At 32.6% G+C, this 23,901-nt stretch overlaps 1 protein-coding gene across 15 annotated transcripts in view; it reads right to left on the reverse strand.

Annotated features, from left to right (window-relative positions):
* SNX13 (sorting nexin 13) overlaps nucleotides 1-23,901 on the reverse strand; it is a 149,734-nt gene that overhangs the window by 36,613 nt on the left and 89,220 nt on the right. For 12 of the 15 annotated variants that reach the window (NR_146933.2, NM_001350863.2, XM_017011893.3 and 9 more), the window contains 7 exons: nucleotides 23,453-23,591; nucleotides 22,974-23,062; nucleotides 18,222-18,321; nucleotides 12,434-12,627; nucleotides 7,388-7,492; nucleotides 6,679-6,811; nucleotides 2,637-2,674 (listed from right to left, as the gene is read on the reverse strand). Coding sequence is in view for 13 of the 15 variants with exons in the window: in NM_001350863.2 (NP_001337792.1) it covers nucleotides 2,637-2,674; nucleotides 6,679-6,811; nucleotides 7,388-7,492; nucleotides 12,434-12,627; nucleotides 18,222-18,321; nucleotides 22,974-23,062; nucleotides 23,453-23,591 (798 nt within the window). In the remaining 2 variants the exon portion in view is untranslated. Of the gene's footprint in view, nucleotides 1-2,636; nucleotides 2,675-2,938; nucleotides 3,875-4,797; nucleotides 5,131-6,678; nucleotides 6,812-7,387; nucleotides 7,493-12,433; nucleotides 12,628-18,221; nucleotides 18,322-22,973; nucleotides 23,063-23,452; nucleotides 23,592-23,901 lie in introns of those variants that run through there. The other 3 variants (XM_005249673.6, NM_001350868.2, NR_146932.2) reach the window with 3 other exon arrangements.

Genomic DNA, 23,901 nt, shown 5'->3' on the forward strand with positions numbered 1-23,901 from the left:
TAGGATGTGAATGAGCTTTTGAGTCCTAATGTAATATTATTATTACTAAAAGGGTCATCTAAATGACTTAAAAGCAACCATCCATATGGCACAAAGTCACTTAAATTAAGGCAATTGCATTCTAAGAAGAAGGCCAAAAATGTATCTACTAAAAACTGATTGTTAAGAGAAGCAAAATGTGATAATTCTATACAGATAATCCACAAGACTTCCCTGGTCAACTCAAATGGCAAAGACATCAAATTAAATTAGATCTAGTCCATGCTCTACTACCAATACCTTAAGAGACTTTAACCATATCAACTACTTTCTCGGATTTCAGTTTTCCCAATGGTAAAATGGGGCTAATACCTGCTCTACATCTCTGTCAGGACATACTGGGAATGAAAATGCTTTGGAAAAAAAAAGGAGTGCATTTATTTTTATGTGCTCAAGAAATCATTTTGATAGAAATAGCACAACCTTTACTTCAATATTTTTATGTGAAAGATAGAAGACTCAGAGGAAATGGAACAGTCTACCAAATTCATATTATCTACTATAACTTCTTCTAATTATAAGCCAGCACAGGTAACATAAAATAATCTATTTTTTTAAAAAAGCATTATTAATAATGGTAACCTTCCCTTGTATGTTAACATTTAACATGCTAAATGTACTTATCTCTTTAAACATGTTAGCATCTCATACTATGCAATCCAAAAGTTGTTAAAAAGGCTTTGTGGAGAAATGTCTTTTTGTCTCTTAAAATATGCAATTAGTAAATATTATTTTCATTACATATGATGAAAACTTTGGAAAAACATTAGTTACAGTTATAGTGCACGTAAATATCAAGTGGACTATAAAGTTACAATTGGTAAAATAATATTTACAAAACTACATTTGATTTAGGAATATATTAAAAGACAATTGTGATTTCAAAACAAGTACATTAATGCTATATTGAAATAAGCACAATTTGCAAAGTACTCTTTAAGTTATGATTCTTAAACTCCTTGTAAGAAAGTGTTTTTTAACACTAAGACAAAAACTGAAAATTCAAATTTATAATGATAGTCATCAAACACAACCAAAATGGCACTAAAGGAAATGCTTGTAATTTACCTACCAAGCTACCAATGGCAAAATGAGTAAAATACCAAACACATTAAATATCTCCTTTGTTTAGTACATTGGAATAAACTATCGTGATCTAGTTTACAATCTTAAGCTATTTTTAAAATGCAGATATTCACTAAAATTTGTCTACATGGTCCAACTACTTAGAAGTATGAATTAAATAGATTTATGGGAATAAAAAAATACTCCAAGTCACTGACTTCAAGTATGACTGTTTTTTGATCCAGAGACTATTCTGGTTTATATTACCATGTGACAAAAGAGACTTATCTTATTTGGAAAAGCATTTATTCCAGACATGGAATAAAGAAAAAAAATTTTTTACTAGTGTTTAAACATTTACACAAGTACTACAAATGTGAATACTAAAAAATTTCAAACCAAGGAAGGGTTTCATCACATTTGGAAACTTTTCTATATAATGAACATTATTTTTAACACTTCCTTCAAGCTCTAGGAGCAATTCCTTTTAGTTTAAAGCTCTGGACTATAACAAGTAAATGGTAATGACACCAAATGATTTAGGAAATATTTTAAAAGTTACAAAGTATCTGACAATTCTACCACAGATTTGCTTTAGTGTTTTACTAAAGGTTATAATACAGTAACAGAACATTTACTCAATAAGGTTATTTTAGAAGCAGACATGGTAGTACAGCTAACACCTAAGACGACTAACCTCTAAAACATTTAGCTATTACGAAAGGTCTAAAAGAAAAAGTAATGCAGGTAGGAGGAAAAACAAAACAAACAACACCTTACCTGTTTTTCCCCTCCCCAACCCAGCCAAACTGGACTGAAACCTTCATAGAACGCTAATATTTCTTCCTAACAGCATCTTAGAAAATGAGTTATTCAGTGGCAAGGCTGGATATATAAGAGAACTGAAACTTTCATTATTTTACACTGTACCTTGAATATATAAAATGCCAATGACAGTTGAGATTCTAAAAACATGCCATTCTAACCTCTAATCATTAAGGATGTAGTTGCTGTAAAACTGTCTAAACTTACAAAAAAAAATTTTTTGTTTACAATGACCTGAATTTGTTTTAGTGTAGACTTAAAGAAATATCTATTCGGTTTTGGTTATCCCCACTAGTTTTGTATTTCTTTCTAAATACAAGAGGAGAAAAAAACTGATTCCAATATAAACATTTATGTGTCACAAACTTATTGCCTATCATAGCAATTTAGTAATCATAGTAATTTAAACATGCTAAATATTAGAATTGAAAATAATGAAATCAATTTATTTATAAAATGCAGAAAAGCAATTATGCAGGTATAACCTAAGCCAATTTTTAAAATAAAGATAAAATATAATTTTTAAGTTCTAATTCATAGATGCCTTATATGTGAACTTAGCATTTCTTTAAAAGCATAATAACTTTTTACAATACTAAAGGATGATTTGGGGCCTTCTTTATATATCATTTATTTATATATGTTAAGGCTCAGCCTTTTACATTATTTTCAAGTCACTTTAATAAAGTACCCATAATAGTACTTACCAAATTTATGCTTCCTGTAGGAGACCCATTAAAAGATTCTGCAGGGGGGAAATTCAACTTAGTATACAGCAAAAAACTTTAAAACGGTTGCTTTATCTAAGGTTCAAACACTAAGAATGAAAGTCACATAAGCCAAGATATAACATAATAGTAAAAAAAAAAAAAAAAAAAAAAATTGTGGATACTCCCAAAAACTTGATCCCTTAAAGTCCCATGGTTTTCTAAGACAGGCATTTAAGTGACAATATAGTATGTACCTGATAGCTGGCCAAAAATCAAAAAGGCATTCGTGTTCAGGAGAGTAATTATTAAATGTTTTTATTCTCATGGTATCAAGTAAGTTGCCTAATACAATATAAGCATGAGGAAAACATTGCAGAATGAGGCCCATTAGGAAACACCAGCACTATTTTGTAACTTCTGTCTCATTGGATTAAGAAAGATTACAAATAAAATCAGTCTGTACTGTGAGGGATAAACAGACTTATTTTTAATAGGTCTATTAAGTCCTCTTATTCTTGGTGGTAGATTATCTTGAAAACACTGGAAGTCCAGATTTTTAAATCAATATATAACAAAAAGACAGTTAAAACTGCATATGCAATTCCATTTCATTAAAAAGCAACTAGGACAAATTAATGTGAGAGAATAAGTCAATGCTGGATTATTAACATTAATGTCAAACAACAATCTTTTCCCTTAGAGTTCTATTATAAATCTAAGAAAATTAAGTTACCAATTAAGGTGTTCCTTTATTAAACACACAAACAAATCTATGGTAAAGCAATATTCATACACAGTTTAATATATGGTTTCGAGCACTTAAGAGGTTATATATGAATTTGGTTCTCTAAATGGGTCTTCAAAAAAGCAACACTACTATTCCTACAAGGAGGCAGCTGATATTGCCTTCCAAATTTACTCTAAATGCTCAAGAACATTTCTTGGTTCTTCAGCCCTCTGGTCATAAAAAAATGGGAATTTCACCTAGGATTATCCCTTGGTGATACTTAAAATAAGTAAAATAGTTATCTATCCTCCTTATTCAATTATATGCCTCCTACCTCTTCTGTAGTGTGCCCACCTCTTAAATCTTCCCACCAAAGACAAGTCAAGTTAAAGGAGAATTTGGGAGCAAAATAGGGCATAGTTTATTTTCTTGATCAACAATAAGAAGATCCAGAAATACAGTATAAAATCAATCTTGGTCGACATTTAATCAAGAATTGGATGACTACCTACAAATATTAGAAAACAAAAGAAAGCACTGTTCAACATGGTGAGACAAATAATGTTGAGATTAAAATTTAAAAAGGAAAGCATAATTCATATAGTTTTAAAAGCCTATGAGACTGTTTTAATAAAGGAGAAAATATCTACTTTTAAAATAATTTCATAACTAAAGAAAGTAATAATGAATAAAGAGAAAGGGCAAAGGAAGAAATGAGGAGAAAAGGAGAGAGGAGAGATAGTAAGCACAAGCAAGCCAACCAGCTAATTCTCTACCTACTGTTAAGTTTGGTTAAATAGGAATGAAATTTCTACTCAAGCAAAGAAAAACCACCAGAGGATACAGTACTATACCATATGATATGACTTGGTCCTTTAATTTTAGGCTCAAATGTAGACTACTTTAAAAAAATCAGCTGTACATTAATCCCTAGGTTAGATAATTATTTCAGAATGTCTAAAAGGTGGTCAAAATTTCAGAATATCTAAAAAATGCATGTAGTGCTCAGCAGCTTAATTTTAAAAGTCAGAAAACTAATTTATAACAAAAAAAGTGGAAAGGCCTATTTTTGATTAAATAATCATATAAAAAGAAGTATATCAGAAGCATTACTAGTTGAGAAAGGTAAACCAGTGGCCTAAAACCTAAACACTGACAAAGACAACAAAGCTGACAGTTACTTTAAATAGTAATGTTTCATATTATACCCATCACTCCATATACTTTTTTTGAATGGTTTCAAAAAAGGGATAGGTAATTTCACAGTATAAAACTCATCAATTAGGAAACAAAATATTAGAGAGCAATGTCCTAGAAAGACAATAAGATACATAAGTATATAATCTCAAACTACAATCAATGATTCAAATGTGAGGGGTTACTCAATAACTGATATATAAGAGAAGCATATTTACTTCAGATCAAAACCAGTTCCAAAAAAAAATTTTTTAATGTACTTCGTGTTTTAAAAAAGTACAGTGTATGATTTTAGGAAGTTTGAGACTGCTTATAGTTTGCTTCCAATAGCTGTACTGAAGAAGACAGACTGGCTAGAAAGATATGAATGGAAGCTAGAAATCCATTTAAAGGACTGGAAGCATTCTTAAGTTACAGGATCAAAAATTACTTCCACAGAATATATTGCTACTATCACCAGTTTAAATTACACATTACTTAGAAGCCCACACAATTATTTGGTTATGACTTTGTCTTCTCTCTTTCTGAGTCACCTAGCAAATCCACTTCACAAATACGAAGAAATTTCTAAAATAGATAAAATTAGTATAAACAACAAAAACTTTTATAATAGTCATTTTAGGATGGTTAGTTGACAGAGCTGCTATTGCAAATTTCATAGCATCTCTATAAAAGAACATTTTTCAATAGAGTAAGTACAGATATATAGAACAAACTAGAGGTACATAAAATTTTACCATTCAACTCAGAGAAGAACTCTGTTTTTTTAAAAAATCTTCCTTAATTATGCAATCAAAATCAGTTAATACATTATTCCAATTGTACACATAAGTAAACTTATAGAGTATTAATTTAAAAACCCAAGGCATCAGATAAATAATCAAAGAAAAGTTACTAAATTTCAAATGTAAACTTCAGTAACTAGATTTCTTAGATTATTTAAAAAACAAAATCTCACTAGTGTAGACACAGGGATAGGAGGTGGAGGAGAGGGGAGGCTGGGAGACTTCCATAATAAAGGTATTTTTTAAAGCAGTGCTCACTACCTAACAGCTCTATTTTATCTCCATTCTCAAGTGTGCTTGCCATAAAACCTATTCATAAGTAAACAGTCATAACTGAAGCACTTTCTTAAAATACTTAAATCTTTCCCATTTACTTTTTATTGACTTCATTCACTTGGTAGAACATACCAGAAAGATCATCCAACCCTAGATATTTAATTAGAGCTTAATAAATACTTCTGAATTGAATCACAAGTTAATGATCATTGGGCCTAAGAATTTGGAAGCTTGTGTTCTAAAGGCTATCCCTCCCACTATTCTTATATAACTCACTATTTACTAATAAAAATTGATACTTGTGTTTTACTTTATAAATCATTTTCAAATGCATAATTCCATTTAAATCTAACAATGACTAACGTAAGATATTATGAGGATATTATTCCAGATTTACCAACTCAGAAAAATGAGGCTTGAAGAATTTAAGCAGTTGGACAACTTCACACAGGTAGTAAGTGATAGAATGGGAGTAAAATCGAAATATTCTGACTCTTAAACCATTTTTTTCACTATAACATGTAAATAGAACTCATTATCCTCACTGGAAAAAACTGAAGGTTGGGATAAATGACTCTTGCGGCTTTTTCTAGCTCAAAAGTCTCTCACACTGTGTAGAATTTGGAAAAGTGTACAATTAAAGATATTTAAAACTGTAGTTTTTTAATAATGCTTTATAGTTTATGATATACTCTGAGTCATTACTTATTGCATATTAAATCTTCTCAATAATTCTATTGTTAATCATGAATATTGTTACTTACTCCCAAAAGGGAAACTGCCATAAAAATATTTCAGTGACTCACCTGAAGAAAACATTCTTCTTCTTTAAGAATTCAAGGCTTCTATAGTTACATTCTAATCCACTATTAAATTTTCAGCATTTTAATTTAGTATAGTCACTAAACTTTGTCATTCATTTGTAGATTTTTTAATATATTACAGTTTATATTTGGACTCCAACAACATTTTTAACTTATACAAAAGCTCTTTTGGTAAGCAGAATATATATAAATATATATGCATATTATGTGTAAAATGGGTGCCACCTTACCTCCATCCCCATCATCGGATCCTCTGAAACTAGGATCTTTTAACATGTCAAGCTCAGCTAACATGCGCACATAAAGTGCATTCTGTCTGAAGGAAGGATAAAATCTTTCATCTCGTAGCATCAATTCATATACCTTGGTGAAATAAATCAAGATATTCAACAATTAATACAGGTGTGTGGTGATTTTTACAAAACACAATTTCACCAAAAGACACACTGAGGTCTTGCCATAATGTATCATAGTTACAAGCTGTCAGCAATAAGACTATTTCACAACTAATGATTTCCTCTGATCCCTCCAGTAACTAAATTATATTGAAAAAAATCCTACTGCAACACAAGTCACAGACAGCACATTCTAGGAATTGTTTTCTAAGAAACAAGTACATGTAAAGGTTCAAGGCTCATGTTAAAATGAATTTGAAAGACATGTTATTTATATGGCATCAATTCATCAAATTCTGAGACTACAATATCTAGCCCTACAATCAAATTCAAATAAAACAACCCAACTTAAGGATTTTCCTCAGAAAATTAACGAAATAAACAAAAATACTGGTTTACATTTCTGGAATTGAGAAGTATAATTGCCATAGTTTATCTTTTTAATACCACTCTACTTTTAGAAAGTTTTTAAAAACTAATTACATTACATAAAAGTATTTTTTCTCAAAAAAGATAAAATGATAAATGCTGTACATAATAATACCTTTCTTTGAATGTCATCAAAGATTTCAGGGGTTGGATCTTCATGATTCAAAGTATCTGCTAATTTTGCTACTAAATAGTCATCAACAGTAACTCTTGGAGATGCCTAACAGAGAAAAATAATAGTAATGATCTCTGTAATTTCTTAATACAAGATGATACTTGATAGTATGATAATAATGGAATCATATTATTGAAAATAACTGGCAGGTAAGAATCATTGGTTTGTAAACGACACCTTGATGTTTAAGAAGGATGAAACAGGACTAAACCCTTCTCTTCCTCATGTACTCTTCCTCATAGCAGGCTGGCAAACAAACACGGATTTAAATCTCAACTTTTGCCTAGCAAGTTATCTCTCAGTAAGCTTCATTTACCCCATCTGTAAAATGGAGATAATACTATATAAGGTTATTTAGGATTATTGTAAGGATTAAAAAAGATCTATATAAGATATATACCATAGTGTCTGGCACATAGGAAACACTGTCATTAGGAGTCAGTGTTTAGTATTCAGTAGTACTAGATGTGTATTAATATGACTGCTGAACGAATAAGCCATTTCATTTATTATTTGACCCTAGAGAAACCTTTTGAATGTCCTTTAAAGAGATTACTGTTATCCTAAATTTGGTTTTATAACTAATGCTGCAGCAAAGTTCCAGTGTGATATGGGGAAAAAAAAGTCTTAAAATTAATTTGTTTTAAGAACTTCAATTTCAAAGTATATAACACAAGGAAATACAAAATTTGACATTTCAACTTCAAAAATTACTTTATTAAAAGAAAAAATGCTGAAAAGCTAGACATGTCAACAGCTTCAGCACATCAACTTTTGCATTTTCAGTTCTGAAAAGTCTGGAGAGTAAATGAGTCCTAGAGATAACATTTAGAGAAACTAACAAAAACAAAAAGCATTATTTACATAACTTCTCTAATTTATCCAATAAAATAAAGAACAGGTAGATAAATCAAGAAAGGAGAAAAAAAAAGTAAACATCAGGATATAAATATGTAGGAAAAGGGCTATACAACTTCTAATGCCCCACTGTCAATTTGACGCTTTTGTTAGTAAACCTAAGTAGGTTGTGTGGTGGTTGTTGTTTTGAGGGGGATGCTTATTTGTTTTGTGTTTCGGGGGGTAGTAGAGTTGCCCTGAAATAGAAACGGGAGAACTAAACAGCTTCAAGTATTTAACAAACATTAGAGAGGAATATGATGTTACTTGGTTTTGCCCTTTCATTTGCCCTCTAAGCTCACTAAACTCACTTTCTAGGAAATAAAAAGGGTGAATTTGAAACATCATATTTTACGTTTATTTAAACTTTACTTTTTCCTATATATCTCAAGTATACAGAATAGATTAAGCCACATCTTTGGTATAGGATGACCAACACTTTTAGTGTACCAACATGAAACACAACCAGTCAAGATCCCCTCTTCCAAAAAAAGTAATACAAAAATAATACTTATATGGCCAGGCATGATAGCTCATGCTTGTAATCCCAGCACTTTAGGAGGCTAAGGCAGGTGGATCACTCGAGGGCATAAGTTCGAGAACAGCCTGGCCCACATGGCAAAATCCCTGTCTCTTTAAAAAAATACAAAAATTAGCTGGATGTGGGTGCATGCCTACAATCCCACCTACTCGGGAGTCTGAGTCAAGAGAATTGCCTGAACCTGGGATGCAAAGGGTGCAGTGAGATTATGCACTCCAAACTTTACGACAGAGTGAGACTCCGTCTCAAAAAACAAAACAACAACAAAAAAGAAATATTTGTACACATTTGTTATTACTTTAATGTGAAAATATAAAAGTGAATGTTTTCCCAAAATTATCTCTTAATGTGTATTCTTTACTTTTCTATTACAGAAATGTGATTATTTAAACAAACCAATGGGACTAGTTAACAGTGGCAAATAATCTGTGTGAGAAAAATACAACAATATGTAATTTACAATGTTTCTGTCCTCTAATATACCAATTTAACTTTTTTTAAAACTCTATTGGATACTTAAATGTTATAGGCTATATTGTTTTGTATTCTTAAAATACAGAAAGACTTTTTAAAAGACAAATGTACATAAAAGCAAAATATACATGCAAAACAGGTATTATCTATATTTAACAAAAATAAATAATGACTTTTCTATCGAGTCCATGATGCAGTAGGATATTTTTGCTTTTTCTGTTTCCTTCTCTAATACTTTTCTGAACTGCCTGCAGCCTTTAGGACATCTTTTATGCAGTGTTACCACTGAATATAATCAAACATAAAAATTCACCTTGATTTTTAGCTCTGCTCTTTTCAAGCCCACCTCACACTTATTTCTTGTGTCAATCCAATGTGAAGGATCAAGTTAAATAAACTTTTTAAAAAAAAAATTTTTTAAGAGGCAGAATATTGCTCTGTTACCCAGGCTGGAGCGCAATCATATGATCACGGTTCACTGCAGCCTTGATATCCTGGGATCAAGCACCTGGTTCAGCCACCCAAGTAGCTAAGAATACAGCCTTGTGCCACCAACTCCAGCTAATTTTCTTTTCTCTTTTTCTTTCTGTAGATACAAGATCTTGCTATGTTGTCCATGCTGGTCTCAAACTCCTGGCCTCAAGGAATCCTCCCACCTTGGGCTCCCAAAGCACTGGGATTTTAGGTGTGAGCCACTGCACCTAGCCTAAATATCCTTTCAACAAAATAATTTGGGAATGTAATAATTGGGATTTTACTTATTAAAAACAGGTTTTTAAATGTGTAGAAATTTGATTTCGGTGCTCCAAAAAAAGTCCAAAAACCATATATATGGCTTGTTTGGTAGGTAGATCAACTGTTTGTCAATCAGGTCTTTTTCATCTATAAATTCATCATATAGGCTATCCAGGCCTACAATGCTCATTTTTAAATACTTTGAAGCATAATGATGTCATCATAAGTTAAATCCCTTTTTGAGGAAAAATGGTTTTTAAATAGACAGATAAACTTGTCAAACTGAAGTTCAATTCCAAATAAATTACTTTTAGTAAAGAAATTTAGAAAATCCTGTTAAAGTTGGCTGTCCTTTTCTGGTGACACATTTTTTTTTTTTAATATTCAAGTAGTCTTATTTTAAAAATAGGAGTCATTTTGCTCACTATATGAGTTTTTATCACAACCTACATGTATCATCAAACAACTCAGGTCAGTGTGTCAACTCTTTTCTAGGCTGCTTTTGGCCTCGTCAAAGATCACCTACCAATTTTAGCGAAACAGTATATAAATTTCTGTTTACTGTAATCCTTTTCTCCATTTTCATTCAAAAAGTATTTCAAATTAGAGAAAAACATTTTTCTTGTCCTATACTTAAAAAAATATGATTTTACCACAGACCAAGATTTTAGCATTTTTTCTATAGCTAGCAAGAATCAGACCTTATTAAGCAAATTATTTTATTTTCTATTTCTTCTTGAGTTAGTGTGGCAATCTGTGTCTAAAAATTTGTCCACTTTAAGTTGTTTAATTTGTTGTCATAAAGTTGATCATAATATTTGCTTACTCCTTTTAATTTCTGTAGGGTCAGGGTTCATGTCTCCTCTTTCATTTATGAATTTGGTTATCTGTGTCTTCTTCCATTTTTTCATGGCCAGTCTAGCTAAAGGTTTGACAATATTGTTGATATTTTCAGAGAACCAACTTTTGGTTTTAGATTTTCACTATGGTTTTTCTGTTTTCTATTCACTGATTCTCACAATAATCTTTGTTTCCTTTCTTCTGTTTGCCTTGGATTTATTTTTCATTTCTAGATTTTTAAGTAAAAAAAGATTGTTGATTGTAGATCTTTTATCCTAGACATTTTTAAAGCTACAAATATTCTTCTAAGCACTAAGTAGCTGCATCTCATGAATTGATACAATGCATTTTCATTCTCAATTAAAAATACTTTCTAGTTTCCTTGTCATTTCTTGTTGACTCAGAGGCTATTTAGAAATATGTTGTTTAATTTTCAATTATTTGTAGTTTCCCCAAATTTCCTTTTGTTGATGTCTAATTTGATTCCATTCTGATCAAAGAACAATTCCAATACTTTTAAATGGAGACGGCTTTTATGGCCTTGCAAATGATTTATCTTGGAGAATGTTTCATGTGTTCTGGAAAATAATGTGTATTTTGCTTTCATTAGGGGAAATAGTCTATAGAATAATATACATATATGTATTACAGTATTACATTACCTATTATATATATAACAATATATGCATATATTACAATATTATTAGAATTGTTATTAGATTAGAATTATTACAATATTATTAGATTACATTATTAGAATACATGTATGCTATAAGTTCTAAAGCAATTCTATTCTATATATGTATTCTATACATTCTATAATAAAATAATCTATACAATCATATTACATAAAATATATTCTATAGACGCTATAGATTATATATATTCTATAGAATTATAGTGTATTACATATATTCTATAGAATTATAGTATAGTATATATATTATTCTACAGGATTAAGTGATTTATAATGTTCCTAAAGTCTTGTATATCCTTGATGTTTTTCTATCTAATTGTTTTATCAATTATTGAAAGTGGGGTATTGAAGTCTCCAACTATAACCGTTGAATTGTCTCTCTTACCCTTCAATTGTGCAAATTTTTGTTTCATTCATTGGGGGGCTCTGTTATTAAATGTACATATGTTTAATACATACATTTAAACATATATACGTTTTTTAAATATATATACGTACTCTCTTTTGTTTACTTTTGCATGGTTTATCTTTTTCTATCCTTTTACTTTCAGCCTGTGGTGAATCTAATGTGTGACCTTGAATCTTATTCTATCATTTAGTATTTGCATGACTGTGGCCATGATAATTTGACTGGCTAAACATCAGAATCTTCACTTAAACGAGGATACAGACAGACAGGAAGATTGTTATCGATTAAAGGAGACAATGTTTTCGAGGTAGTCAGCCTGGCATAAGCAATGGATTACAAAAATTATTAATAATACTGCTAAAGAAGAAAACAGTAATCAAAATACAGCCTCACCTTTTCTGATAAATACTGTTCATAAATTCCAACAGCAGCTGCTCTTAAAAGACCTTTGGTTTGGTTGGTTTGATGTTTTCCATCTCTCTGACGACTTAATAAAACTTCTAGCTGCTGTTGGGCGGTAACCCGGTATCCTTCCACTGTCATCCAAAAGAATAGATGTGCTTGACCTCCAGTTTGCTGCATGTAATCTAGCAATCAAAAATCCATAATAACATAAATATTAGTGTCACACAATTTGGGGTCCATGTAGTTTTATGACAAGTAAAGAAGGATTAAAGTTTCAAGTGTTTAAAACTCCACATTTTGAAAATGTTTTAGCAAATCCCTGAGGTGAAAATATAGTTGTAAATTAGTTACGCTAAAAAACCAGTTATGTTAAAAACAAAAGTGAAGTCGTGTATTTCAGAATTTTTTCAATCCCACTTTTCATAATAAAATCTCTAGTGAATAAATTTGTTACATAAAACATTCAACATTTGTTCTCAATAAAGATTGTTATAATATGAATATTTCTAGACATTTTTAAAAATGACTCTTCAAACCATATATTTATATTTTTATCACAAAAATGAAAATGTATAGAGGTTTGCTGAAAATGTCCTCCAGATAAAAGCAATCCTAACGTAATAGCAATAAGATCTAAATTAAAAAGTATATATTAAAATGGTATAAAAACAAAATCCCTCATGTACACATGAACAAAAACGATACAAACAGGTTATATACATTGTATGTTCCCAATAAAGTACTCTTTCTCAATGAATTTTAATTTGCATTAGAATTTCCTAGAATTTATTTTAAAAGCAGTTTGGTAAATGCACATTATTTATGATAACTATTTCCTTCAAAACAAAACAAAGCTCTACCTCCATGGTTTCTAAAGAAAAACATTTCAGAGAATAAAGGCTGGACTGAATTTGGCATGCAAAATATTAACTACTTAAAATTCAATAATATTTAAAATTCTTAAAAATTTCAAAGAAGATGTGGGAGTGTGAAGCACCAGAATTCTATCTCTCCACCTCCACAACAAGTGCAATGGCAGAATCTGATGTAACTAATTTGGAACTCTGGAATCTAATGAAGATTTGCAACATTTAAGGGAAGGCTTGGGAAGTAAGCTTTGGTTAATCTCAGTCCATTCCAGCTCTTAGCACAACTGCAGCTACCATTCCCCACTCTCAGACTACTAGAACAAGTAGCTGTGCATGCACTCCAGAATTAGCTTGTACACAGCAAGTAGGAACCAGGGTGGACAAAAAACAACTTGTCCTTCAAATATTCGGATCTAGGCTCTGACAGCACACTGCTGCTTCTGATCAAAGAGGTGCAGACAAATAGGCAGCCTTTGTTGTTGCATATCTCTTGATTGGTCCAAGCCCCTTTCCTTTCTGCTGAAGTAACAAGCAAGAGATTTAGAAGACTGGCACCCTTTCTCCCTTGACTCCTACAGTTTTACCTTTATCTCCCTTTGGGAGCCATGCATTAAAAATGAGGACATTCAAAAGCAACCACATATGTGGGAAAATTAGAAAGTGACTATGCATGCCCAGGGAAAAGCACAAGTTCAGAATAGTCTTGAGAAGACTTTTAAGTTTATACCTCAGGCTGATCCTTAGCATAAACAGCCTACATATTAAAAACAAAAACAGTAACAACAATAAAGAACAGCAAACCCTAAGGAAAGGGAAGTGATTTCCAGAGTTACTACATTATTAGATTCAAACAGCCAGTTATTCATACACACACACACACACACACACACACACACGCACACACACCCCAAGGCATACAAAGTACATGGCAAGTGTGGCCCATTCAAAGAGGAAAAAAAGCCAACATACATGAACAGAAACTGTCCCCAAAAAAGACCTGATGGAATATCTACTAGATGAAGACTTTAAAACAACTACCTTAAAGATGCCCAAAAGACTAAAGAAAGATGTAAAAAAGTCAATAAAACAATCTATGAACAAAATGGAAAGATCAATAGAGACAGAAAACCTAGAAGAAACCAAAATAAAATGGAGGTGAAAAGTATATAACCAAAATAAAAAATGCACTAAAGGAAATTTAAGGTAGATTTGAGCAGGCAGAGGAATCAGCAAATGTAAGGATAGATTAATAAAAGTTTTAGATTCAAGAAACAGAATGTAAAAATACAAAGAAGAGTAAACAGAGCCTAAGGGACCTGCTGGACCAAGTTACATATGGGAGTTCTATAAGGAGAAGAGAGAAACAGGCAGATCATATTTGAAGAAATGACTGAAAATTTTCCAAATTTGAAGAAAGGCACGAATATAAACACCCAAAAAGCTCAACAATCTCCAACTAAGATGAATTCAAAGATACCCACATGGAGACACATTATAATTCAACTTTCAAAAAATAAATCATCCAAAAGCAGAAAGAGAAAAACAACACATACAAAATATCCAAAAGATTATCAGCAGATTTCTTTCAAGAAACTTTGGAGGCTAGAAGGTGATGGAGTGATATTCAAAGTGCTAAAAGAAAAATACTGTCAACCAAGTTCCTATATCTGGCAAAACTATACTTCAAAATGAGAGAGAAGTAAGGATTCCCAGATAAACAAAAGCAAAGGAAGCATCTTACCATAAGACCTGCCTTGCAAAATGTGCTGAAGGGTAAATTAAACAAAAGGACACTAGATAGTAACTTAGTACTTTGAAATCATATGAAGAAATAAATATCTCAGTAAAAATAAAAATATGGGCAATTATAAAAGCTAGTATTATTAACAATGATTTGTAACTCTATTTTTTTGTTTTCTATGGGACTGGAAAGACGAATACGATTTTAAAAAAAATCAACTATCAGTCTGAAAGCCAGAAATATTGTACTTTGTTACTGCACATCCTGGTTTCTACATAATTTACAAAAGTAACTCATTTAAAAGAACTATTAGTTCATATTTTGAACACACAATTTGTAAAGACTTAGTTTTGTGACGTCATCAAAAGAGGGATGGTGACAGAGCTGTAAAGGAGCAAAGTTTTGAATACATTTGAAATTAAGCTGGCATAATTTCAAATTACAGTGTTATAAATTTAGGATGTTACATGTAATCCCCATAGTAACCACAAAGAAAATGGCTACATAATATACATAAGAGGAATGAGAAAGAAATTTAAACATGTCACTACAAAAAAATCAACTAAATACAAAAGAAGTCAGTTATGTAGAAAAGACTATCAAAAAAGACATAAAGCATGTAGAAAACAAATAACAAGATGACAGAACTCTTTCCTTATAAATAATTACTTTACATGTAAATTGATCAAACTTTCTAATCAAAAGACAGAGACTGGCAGAATGGATTAAAAAAATCAATCCAATGATATACTGTCTACAAAGACTTTAGATACAAAGACATAAATAAATTGAAAGTGAAAGAATGAAAAATCACATCACATGCAAACAGTAACCAAAATAGAGCAGGGGAGGCTACACTAGTATCAGCTGAAATAGACTTTAAATCAAAAATGGTTAAGATGTAAATAAGGTCATTATATATTAATAAAAGATTCAGCATAACAAAATAATACAACAATTATAAACAGTTACATACCTATTAACAGATCACCAAAATATATGAAGCAAAAACAGACAGATTTGAAGGGAAAAAGAGACAGTGCCACAATAATAGTTGGAGATTTCGATGCCCCACTCTCAGTAACGGATAGACCCAGACAGAAGATAAGTATGGAAATAGAGGACTTAACACAATATACCAGGTAGATTTAACAAGCATACAGAACACTTCCCAACAACAGCATACAGCTTCTTCTCAGGTACACATGGAATATTTTCTGAACAGACCATACAGTGGGCCACAAATTGAGTCTCATAAAGTTTTTAAAAATGGGTATCATGCAAAGTATCTTCTCCAACTACAATGGGATAAAATTATAAAACAATAACAAAATTAAAACTGGAAAACTCATATATTTTTGGAAATCAAACAACACACTTTTTATTTACCCTACTTATCCTCTGAAAACATGAAAACACACTCACACAACCAATGGATCAAAGAAGAAATCACAAGAGAAATTAGAAAATACATAAATATTAATTAAAACAAACATAACACACCAAACTAATGGGACACAGCAAAAAGGAAAATCTCAAATCATCTTTCCTTATGTTGTAAAGCTTTTTAACTTTACAACATAAAGAAATAGAAAAAGAACAAATTAAACCCAAAGCTAGCAGAAGGAAGGAAACAGTAAAGATTAGAGCAGAGATAAACAAAAGAGAGAACAGAAAAACAATAGTAAAAGTCAATGAAAGCAATAGTTGATTCTTTGAAAAGAGTGACAAAATTAACAAACATTTATCCAGGAGGACAAAAAGAGAAAAGACTCAAATTACTAAAATCGGAAGTGAAAGTGGGGATATTACTAATGACTCTACAAAACTAAAAGTACTATGAACAATTGTATGCCAATAAATCGGATATCCTAGTGGAAATGGAAAAATTCCTAGAAACAGAAAATCCACCAAAACTAAATCATGAAGGAATTGAAAATCTGAGGAGACTGATAACGTAGTAAGGAGAATGAATCAGTAACCAAAAATCGTCAATAAAGAAAAGACCTGGACCTGAATAGCTTTACTGGTGAATTCTATCAAACATTTAAAGAAAAGTAACACCAATCCTTTTTAAATTTTTCCAAAAAATTAAACAGGAAACACTTCCTAACTCATTCTATGAGGCCAGCATTATCCTGAAAACAGAACCAGATAAAGATAGTACAAGAAAACTACAGACCAATGTTCCTTATAAATATAGATGTAAAAATCCTCCATAAAATACTAGCAAAACAAATTCAGCAGCATATTAAAGAAATTATACACCATGACTAAGGTGGCATTTATTCCTGGAATCCAAAGATGGTTGAACATACAAAAAAAAAAAAATCAGTCTAATACAGCACAACAGAATGAAGGATAAACACCACATCTTAATTGATGCACAAAAAGCATATCACAAAATTCAACACATTTTCATGACAAAAACACTCAATAAACTAGGAACAGAAGGCTACTATCTCAAAATAATAAAAGCTGTATCTGAAAAATCCCACAGTGAATAATATACTCAATGATGAAAGACAAAATACTTTTCTTTAAGATCAGGAACAAGACAAAGATTAAGATCAGGAACAAAAAGATTAAGATCAGGAACAAGACAAAGATGCCTGTGTTTGCCACTTCGTTTCAACATAGTACTGGAAGTACTAGGCAGAGAAATTAGGAAAAGTGGAGGGAGGGGAGAAGAGGTAAGGGGAGAAGCAAGTGTGTGCGTGTGTGTACACACACACACACACACACACACGAATATTATTCAGCATTAAAAAGGAAGGAAATTCTCACATATGCTATAACACGGATAAAACCTGAGGGCATATCCACGTTAAGTGAGTAAGCCAGTCACAAAAAGGCAAATACTGTACAATTCCACCTACGTGAGGTACTTAAGAGTAGTCAAAATTATAGAGACAGAAAGCAGAATGATGGTTGCAGGGGTTGAGAGTGTGAGGAATGGAGAGAGTTGGTGTTTAATGAGTAGAGTTTCAGTTTTGGAAGATAAAAACAGTTCTGGAGACTCTGTACAACATCATGAATACATTTAATATCACTGAACTATACACTTAAAAATAGTTGAGATACTAAATTTTATGTGTATTTTACAATAAAAAATCGAAAAAGAAATTCAATGGCTGTATCATTTAAATAGAATTGATCTACCTACCCATAAAAAATTGTAGTGCAACATTGTCTACAAGAATGCTGTCCAGGGGGACTGTGCAAAGTTTCCCAAAGTTTGCTGCAAGTTTCACAGTATTTATTTCCTACAGGCAAAAGTGAATATAAGTTAATATTTTATCTAATCATTCATTGTTAAAGATGTGTACATAAATATAAGGAAAAAAATCAAGCTAAAACGGAGTAAAGATGAAGTTTTTCCCTTCTCATGCATGTTGTTTCCCAATAGATATACATTGTGTGAATTTAAATTCCTAGTTAAGAGTTGCTTAGCAAATTAAAAATATTAACACATTAAAAATAATAGCATTCAACTGTTTCAATATAAAATAAATAGAAATCACTATATTTTCAATTATTCTCTATCTCTATATATTCCAAATGAAAATGAACATTCCAAAGGCTAAAAGGGTGAAGGAAATGGTTAATATACGCAAGAATTTTAAAAACTCAACATTTTCATGTATAAAGTCTATTTACTACTAGGAAAACAAAATATGCCTAAAGAGTAATTTTGCTCCTAACTCAGTAAAATCTCTAATTATTAGATAAAATGTGTTTTTTTTCCAGACTCTCTAAACAGTGAATTTCAGACATACTTTTCAAAGTCACAGAGCAAGGAAACAACCTACATATGAAAAAAAAAAAGGGAAAAATTGCGTCCAAAATTTAAAGAGCATCTACGTATCAGGCTTTGGGCTAGTTACATTACAGATATTACTTCATTTAATCCGCACAGCAATCCTGTTGGATATGTATCACCACGTCTACTTAACAGACAAGGAAAACGAAGATGAAAAAGGTTGCCTATTAAGTCACAAAGCCGGTAAGTATGACTACATGTTTTCAAATGCTGCTGCCCTTTCCAATAAGAGCCATGATGTTTCCATGAATTATTTATTTTCACTGGCTTCTCTATATTCCCAAATTCATATTTCAGAACCCTCTATTTAAAAAAGAAAGATAGGCAGGTTTACTGTAAATGAAGTAGGCTGCCATATTCAGAGGCAGATACTAAATTAAGCATAGGTGGTAAATAAAGGAAAATGTAGAGAATTAAAAAAAAAAACAAATCCATCTCTATAATTTGTATTTTCCTTCATGTAAGTACTGAATAATAACAGCTAACTGACTTTAGATGTCTGGTAGAGAGCAATCTAGAGGCAGCACATGATTCCTACTAAGTCTCCCTTCTTCAAATTGTATCACCTCTTTCTCCTGCCCAGCAGCGGCTCCACAGATACAGGATGGAAGGAAAATTCGCTGAGGATAAAGGTTTCTAAGATTTCAAGATAAGTAACATGGCTATATAACTGCAAATCCGTGGGGATTCTGAGTTTACTTACAAAGGAAAACACTGTATGATCTGAGCTCATTAAAAAATAAAGCTTGTATTCAAAATGGAATTGACAGGCTTGCAAACAAAATATCTAAATTTTAAAAGGATTCAATATCAAAAAGTGCCTGGGTAAATACACTGAGTAATGACGCTGAAAGATCACTACCTCTGAGATCTAGATAAGGAAGTAGTTAAAGAAAAGCACAAGTGAAACCGTATCTTTCTTCTACGCTCATTTGCACGAGTATATAAACTAGTTTTAAAATAAAGTTAACCAAAACAAAGGTGCACACACACACACACACACGTAACAAATATGGGCCTCAAGTAATGTTTCTTAAGTTATAATTCACCTAGAAAACTAAATTTAAGGGTTTTTTTGTTTGTTTGTTTGTTTTTTTGAGACGGAGTGTCGCTCTTGTTGCCCAGGCTGGAGTGCAATGGTGCCATCTCAGCTCACCGCAACCTCTGCCTCCCAGGTTCAAGTGATTCTCCTGCCTCAGTCTCCCGAGTAGCTCGGATTACAGGCATATGCCACCACGGTTTTTAAAAATAATTCTTCTATTCCTTAAGGAGTTTAAATACACTGTAAAATTATAAGACCAGAGACTCACAAATAAATTTTCAAAACAAAACCACAGCAAAAATGTGACCTCATTAAAAACCTAAGGGTATTTAAGAAATGCTTTTTCCTGCTTTAAAGCCCCAAATCTCTGCTCTCCTTTAGGGCAAAACTTCTCTAAAGAGCAACTATCGTTACTGTTTCTAATTTACCTCTTCCCATTCTCTCATGGACAAACTCCAATTAAGATTTTTCTCCACTACTCCACAAAAAATGCTCTCATCAGATCACCAATAATCCAGAAGGTAGGAAGTCCAATGGTCAATTCTCAGTCTTCATCTTTCTCCACGTTATCCTTTGATACACCTCTTCTTTCCCTTTTATAAACACTTTTAACATTTGGCTTCTGAGATATTATTAGGGACAGGGGGCACAAAATTCTAGGCAGAAAAGGGTGGTCCCTGGCGAAACACCACCCCCTCAAGCCAAAAAGCCTGAGCCCACAGTCCTAAATGAGAATTTATATCCCTGTTTTCCTGCTCGAATGTTGCCTTTTCCTAAACCACCCATGGCCGCACACCACCCCATCCTGTGCCTATAAAAAACCGAGACTCAGCTGGTAGCCGGGACTACGGCTGGACATTGGAGAGAAGCGGCTCAACTTCAGAGGGACAGCTTGATGGCATAACTTCGGAAAGAATCCAAATGGAGACAGCCGGACTTCAGGGGAAGATTACCTACCCGCCCCATTCCCCTTTTCAGCTCCCCTTCCCACTGAGAACCACTTTCATCGGCCATAAAGTCTCCAGCATTTACCATCTTTCAACTCATTCATGTGACTTCATTTTTCCTGGACGCCGAGTAAGAGCTCAGAAGCCACGAGTGTGCACACAAAAGGCTTTCACACTGGCCCTGTGCCCTCACTGATGAAGGGCAGCCGCCTCATGCAAAAAGGCAAATGGTCCACTGAGCTGTTAACCCTTAAGCCATCCACAGACAGCAGAGCTAAGAGAGCGCTGTAACACACCTTCTAGGGCTTTGGGAGTCACAGGCACCTCTGACTGGACAGCTGTAGGGCCTGAACAGAGTTTGCTCTTGCCAGTGCTAATGCATCGGCCAGTTCCTCCACCCACTCACCTGGGTGCTCCCTCTCGCGAGGGGTGGAATACAGTGGGTCCGAGTGAGTGGAGTTTGATCCCGCCAGTGCCGAAGTGGCAGGCTGGTTCCAGCACTCCTTCACTCAAGTTCCCACTGGCTTGCTCACGCGCTCCCCACCACAAAGAGTTGAGAACAGCAGGCTGAGCAGTAAACAAGACACCCCTGTTGCAAGTCCTGCGAAGGGGTCAGGGAAGTACCCTGCTTCAATATCACATGCTCAGGTTTTCCTGCAATCTCACTGGCTATTTACTCTGTTTCTTTGGCTAGACTCTTTACTTTGTCTTAAACTCTGTTCATTGAAGTGTAGTAGGACCAAGTCACCAGTGCATTCCTACTTACACACACTCTTTTAGATAACATCATCCAGGCTCTCAACATTAAACATCTGATAATTCTGAGGATTTACAAAATTCATCTCCATCACTAACTTTTCCTTAGAACTCAAGATTGCCAATTGGCATGTCTACTTGAATGTCAAACAGGGATCTCAAATTAAAATACCCAAAACTCAATTCTCTTTTCTAAACTTCCTCCTCTCTCAGTGTTACCCAATTCAGTAAACAGCACCACTATTTATACAGTTGCTCAAACCAAAATACCCTGAAATTATCCTTGAGTTATTTTTTCTTTCTCACCCCATATTCACTCCATTAAGAAAATCCTATTAGCACTATATCCAGTCTCTAATCGCTTCTCACAACCTCCATAGACATCTCTTATCTAGTTTTAAATCAGGAGTATTGCAAATAATCTCTCAGTTTCCATTCTTACCCCCATCATCTCACACTTTGTGTCTATTCTCCACAAAGAGTAAAGATAATAATTTTAACTTTTAGCTTGTAAGTCAGGTAATGTCACTTGTCAGGGCAAATCTCCAATTGATTTTCATCATAATTAGAATAAAATAAAATTCTTACTATGGCCACTAAGACCATATATGACCATATAAGATCTAACCCCCCGGTTCTTCTATGACTTCATTCCTAGCACAATAGCTCATTCATTCCATACCAACCACAACAACCTCCTCCAATTCACCAAGGACATTCTTACTTTAGTGCCCCTGCATTTGCTCTCATGACTGCCTCTAAGATAGATACTTCAAAGGCAAACAAAAATACATCACAGGACTAACTGCCTCATGTTATTTAGATCTCACTATGATCAAGTGTCATCGAACCTCTTGGAACCTATCTAAACCAGTCCAAGACATTCTCTATACGCTACTTTGCTTTATTACTGTTTTTTGCAGTAGATATCACCACCTGATATTACGCGTCAATTTGCTTATTGGTTTATTTCCTGACTCTGCAACTAAAATGTAAACTCCACGAAAAGAGTCTGTCTGCTTGGCTCTTCTAAAAAGTACCCAACTCACAAAACTGAATAAATGTAAGTTTTGAATAAACAAATGATACACAAGTAAATGTATAAATAAATCAAGGAATAAAATAAAATCTTCAATTACTTTAACATTTTTCAGGAAGCATTTTAGTTAACCTTTTTGGCATGTTTTAACAAATATTTATATCACATTGTAGAAGAGAAAACTCTTTTTAAAGTCCTCTTGTAAAGTGCTGCACTGGTAAACGTCCTGCTTTTTGTCCTTTACTGTGCATTTTTAATCCCTATAGTATAGTATTTATAACTAAACGTTAATTCAAAACTACTTTACTTACTTTGCCTGACTGCAATCGCTGTATTCTTGAGTCACATACCTTCTTTACGAATAGTAAGCTATTTATTTGATTTTTGATAGTGTTGATATCTAAAAGCAAAGAAATCATGAACTAGAAAGTGGTAGTGTTATTTATGAAATACTTTAAACATGCACTTACTGTAATTTAACAAAATAACCAATAATACAGCAACTGTTTTAGTCAATAAAAGAAACCATCTGAAATTATACAGTGAAATTATTTAATTAAAAGTAAACCATGCCAATTACCTCCACTTTAGGGATAATTACAATAATCACATTCTCACATTCTGAAAATAATGCTTTTACTTTAACTAAGCACATGTTAACCTAATAAGGAAGATTTAATTAAGGTGAAAACATTAATATCAGAAAATGACATTTAGGTAAATTAATCAAAGTTTTGAAGATAAAATAATACTTCAAAAAAATATATCTTAAATTAAATACATTACTTACCATCACCAGCTGTATCTAGAGATCTAAGATACTGTAATTCTTCTGCTGCCTTATCTCTGACTGCTTCTAGCTCTCCAATATTGTCACTCAATTTAATAATGTTCATAAAGGCCTCATAGTTGCAGTTAGAATCACGGATCTGAAAACAAGTTTAAGAAAAACAGGTGGGAGAGGAACTCACTTATGAAAAGGAAAACTGAATCTTGAGTGCCTACTATGTGCTAGGACAATTTGCTACATACTCAGTGCTTACAACAAAAAGAAAAAAGTTCTATATTTGGGCACCTATTTTCCAATGGATCTTAGACTGCAAATAAAATAAAGTATTATACAGCATGTTTGAAACTGTAGGAATAGGAACATGCTCACAGTATTTGATGATAGCAAAGAAGCCATGATGACTGGAACTAAACCAAAGACAAACTGAGCAAAAGATATGGTCAGCAGCA

This window comes from Homo sapiens, chromosome 7, assembly GCF_000001405.40.
Source record: "Homo sapiens chromosome 7, GRCh38.p14 Primary Assembly".
Taxonomy (NCBI): Eukaryota; Metazoa; Chordata; class Mammalia; order Primates; family Hominidae; genus Homo; species Homo sapiens.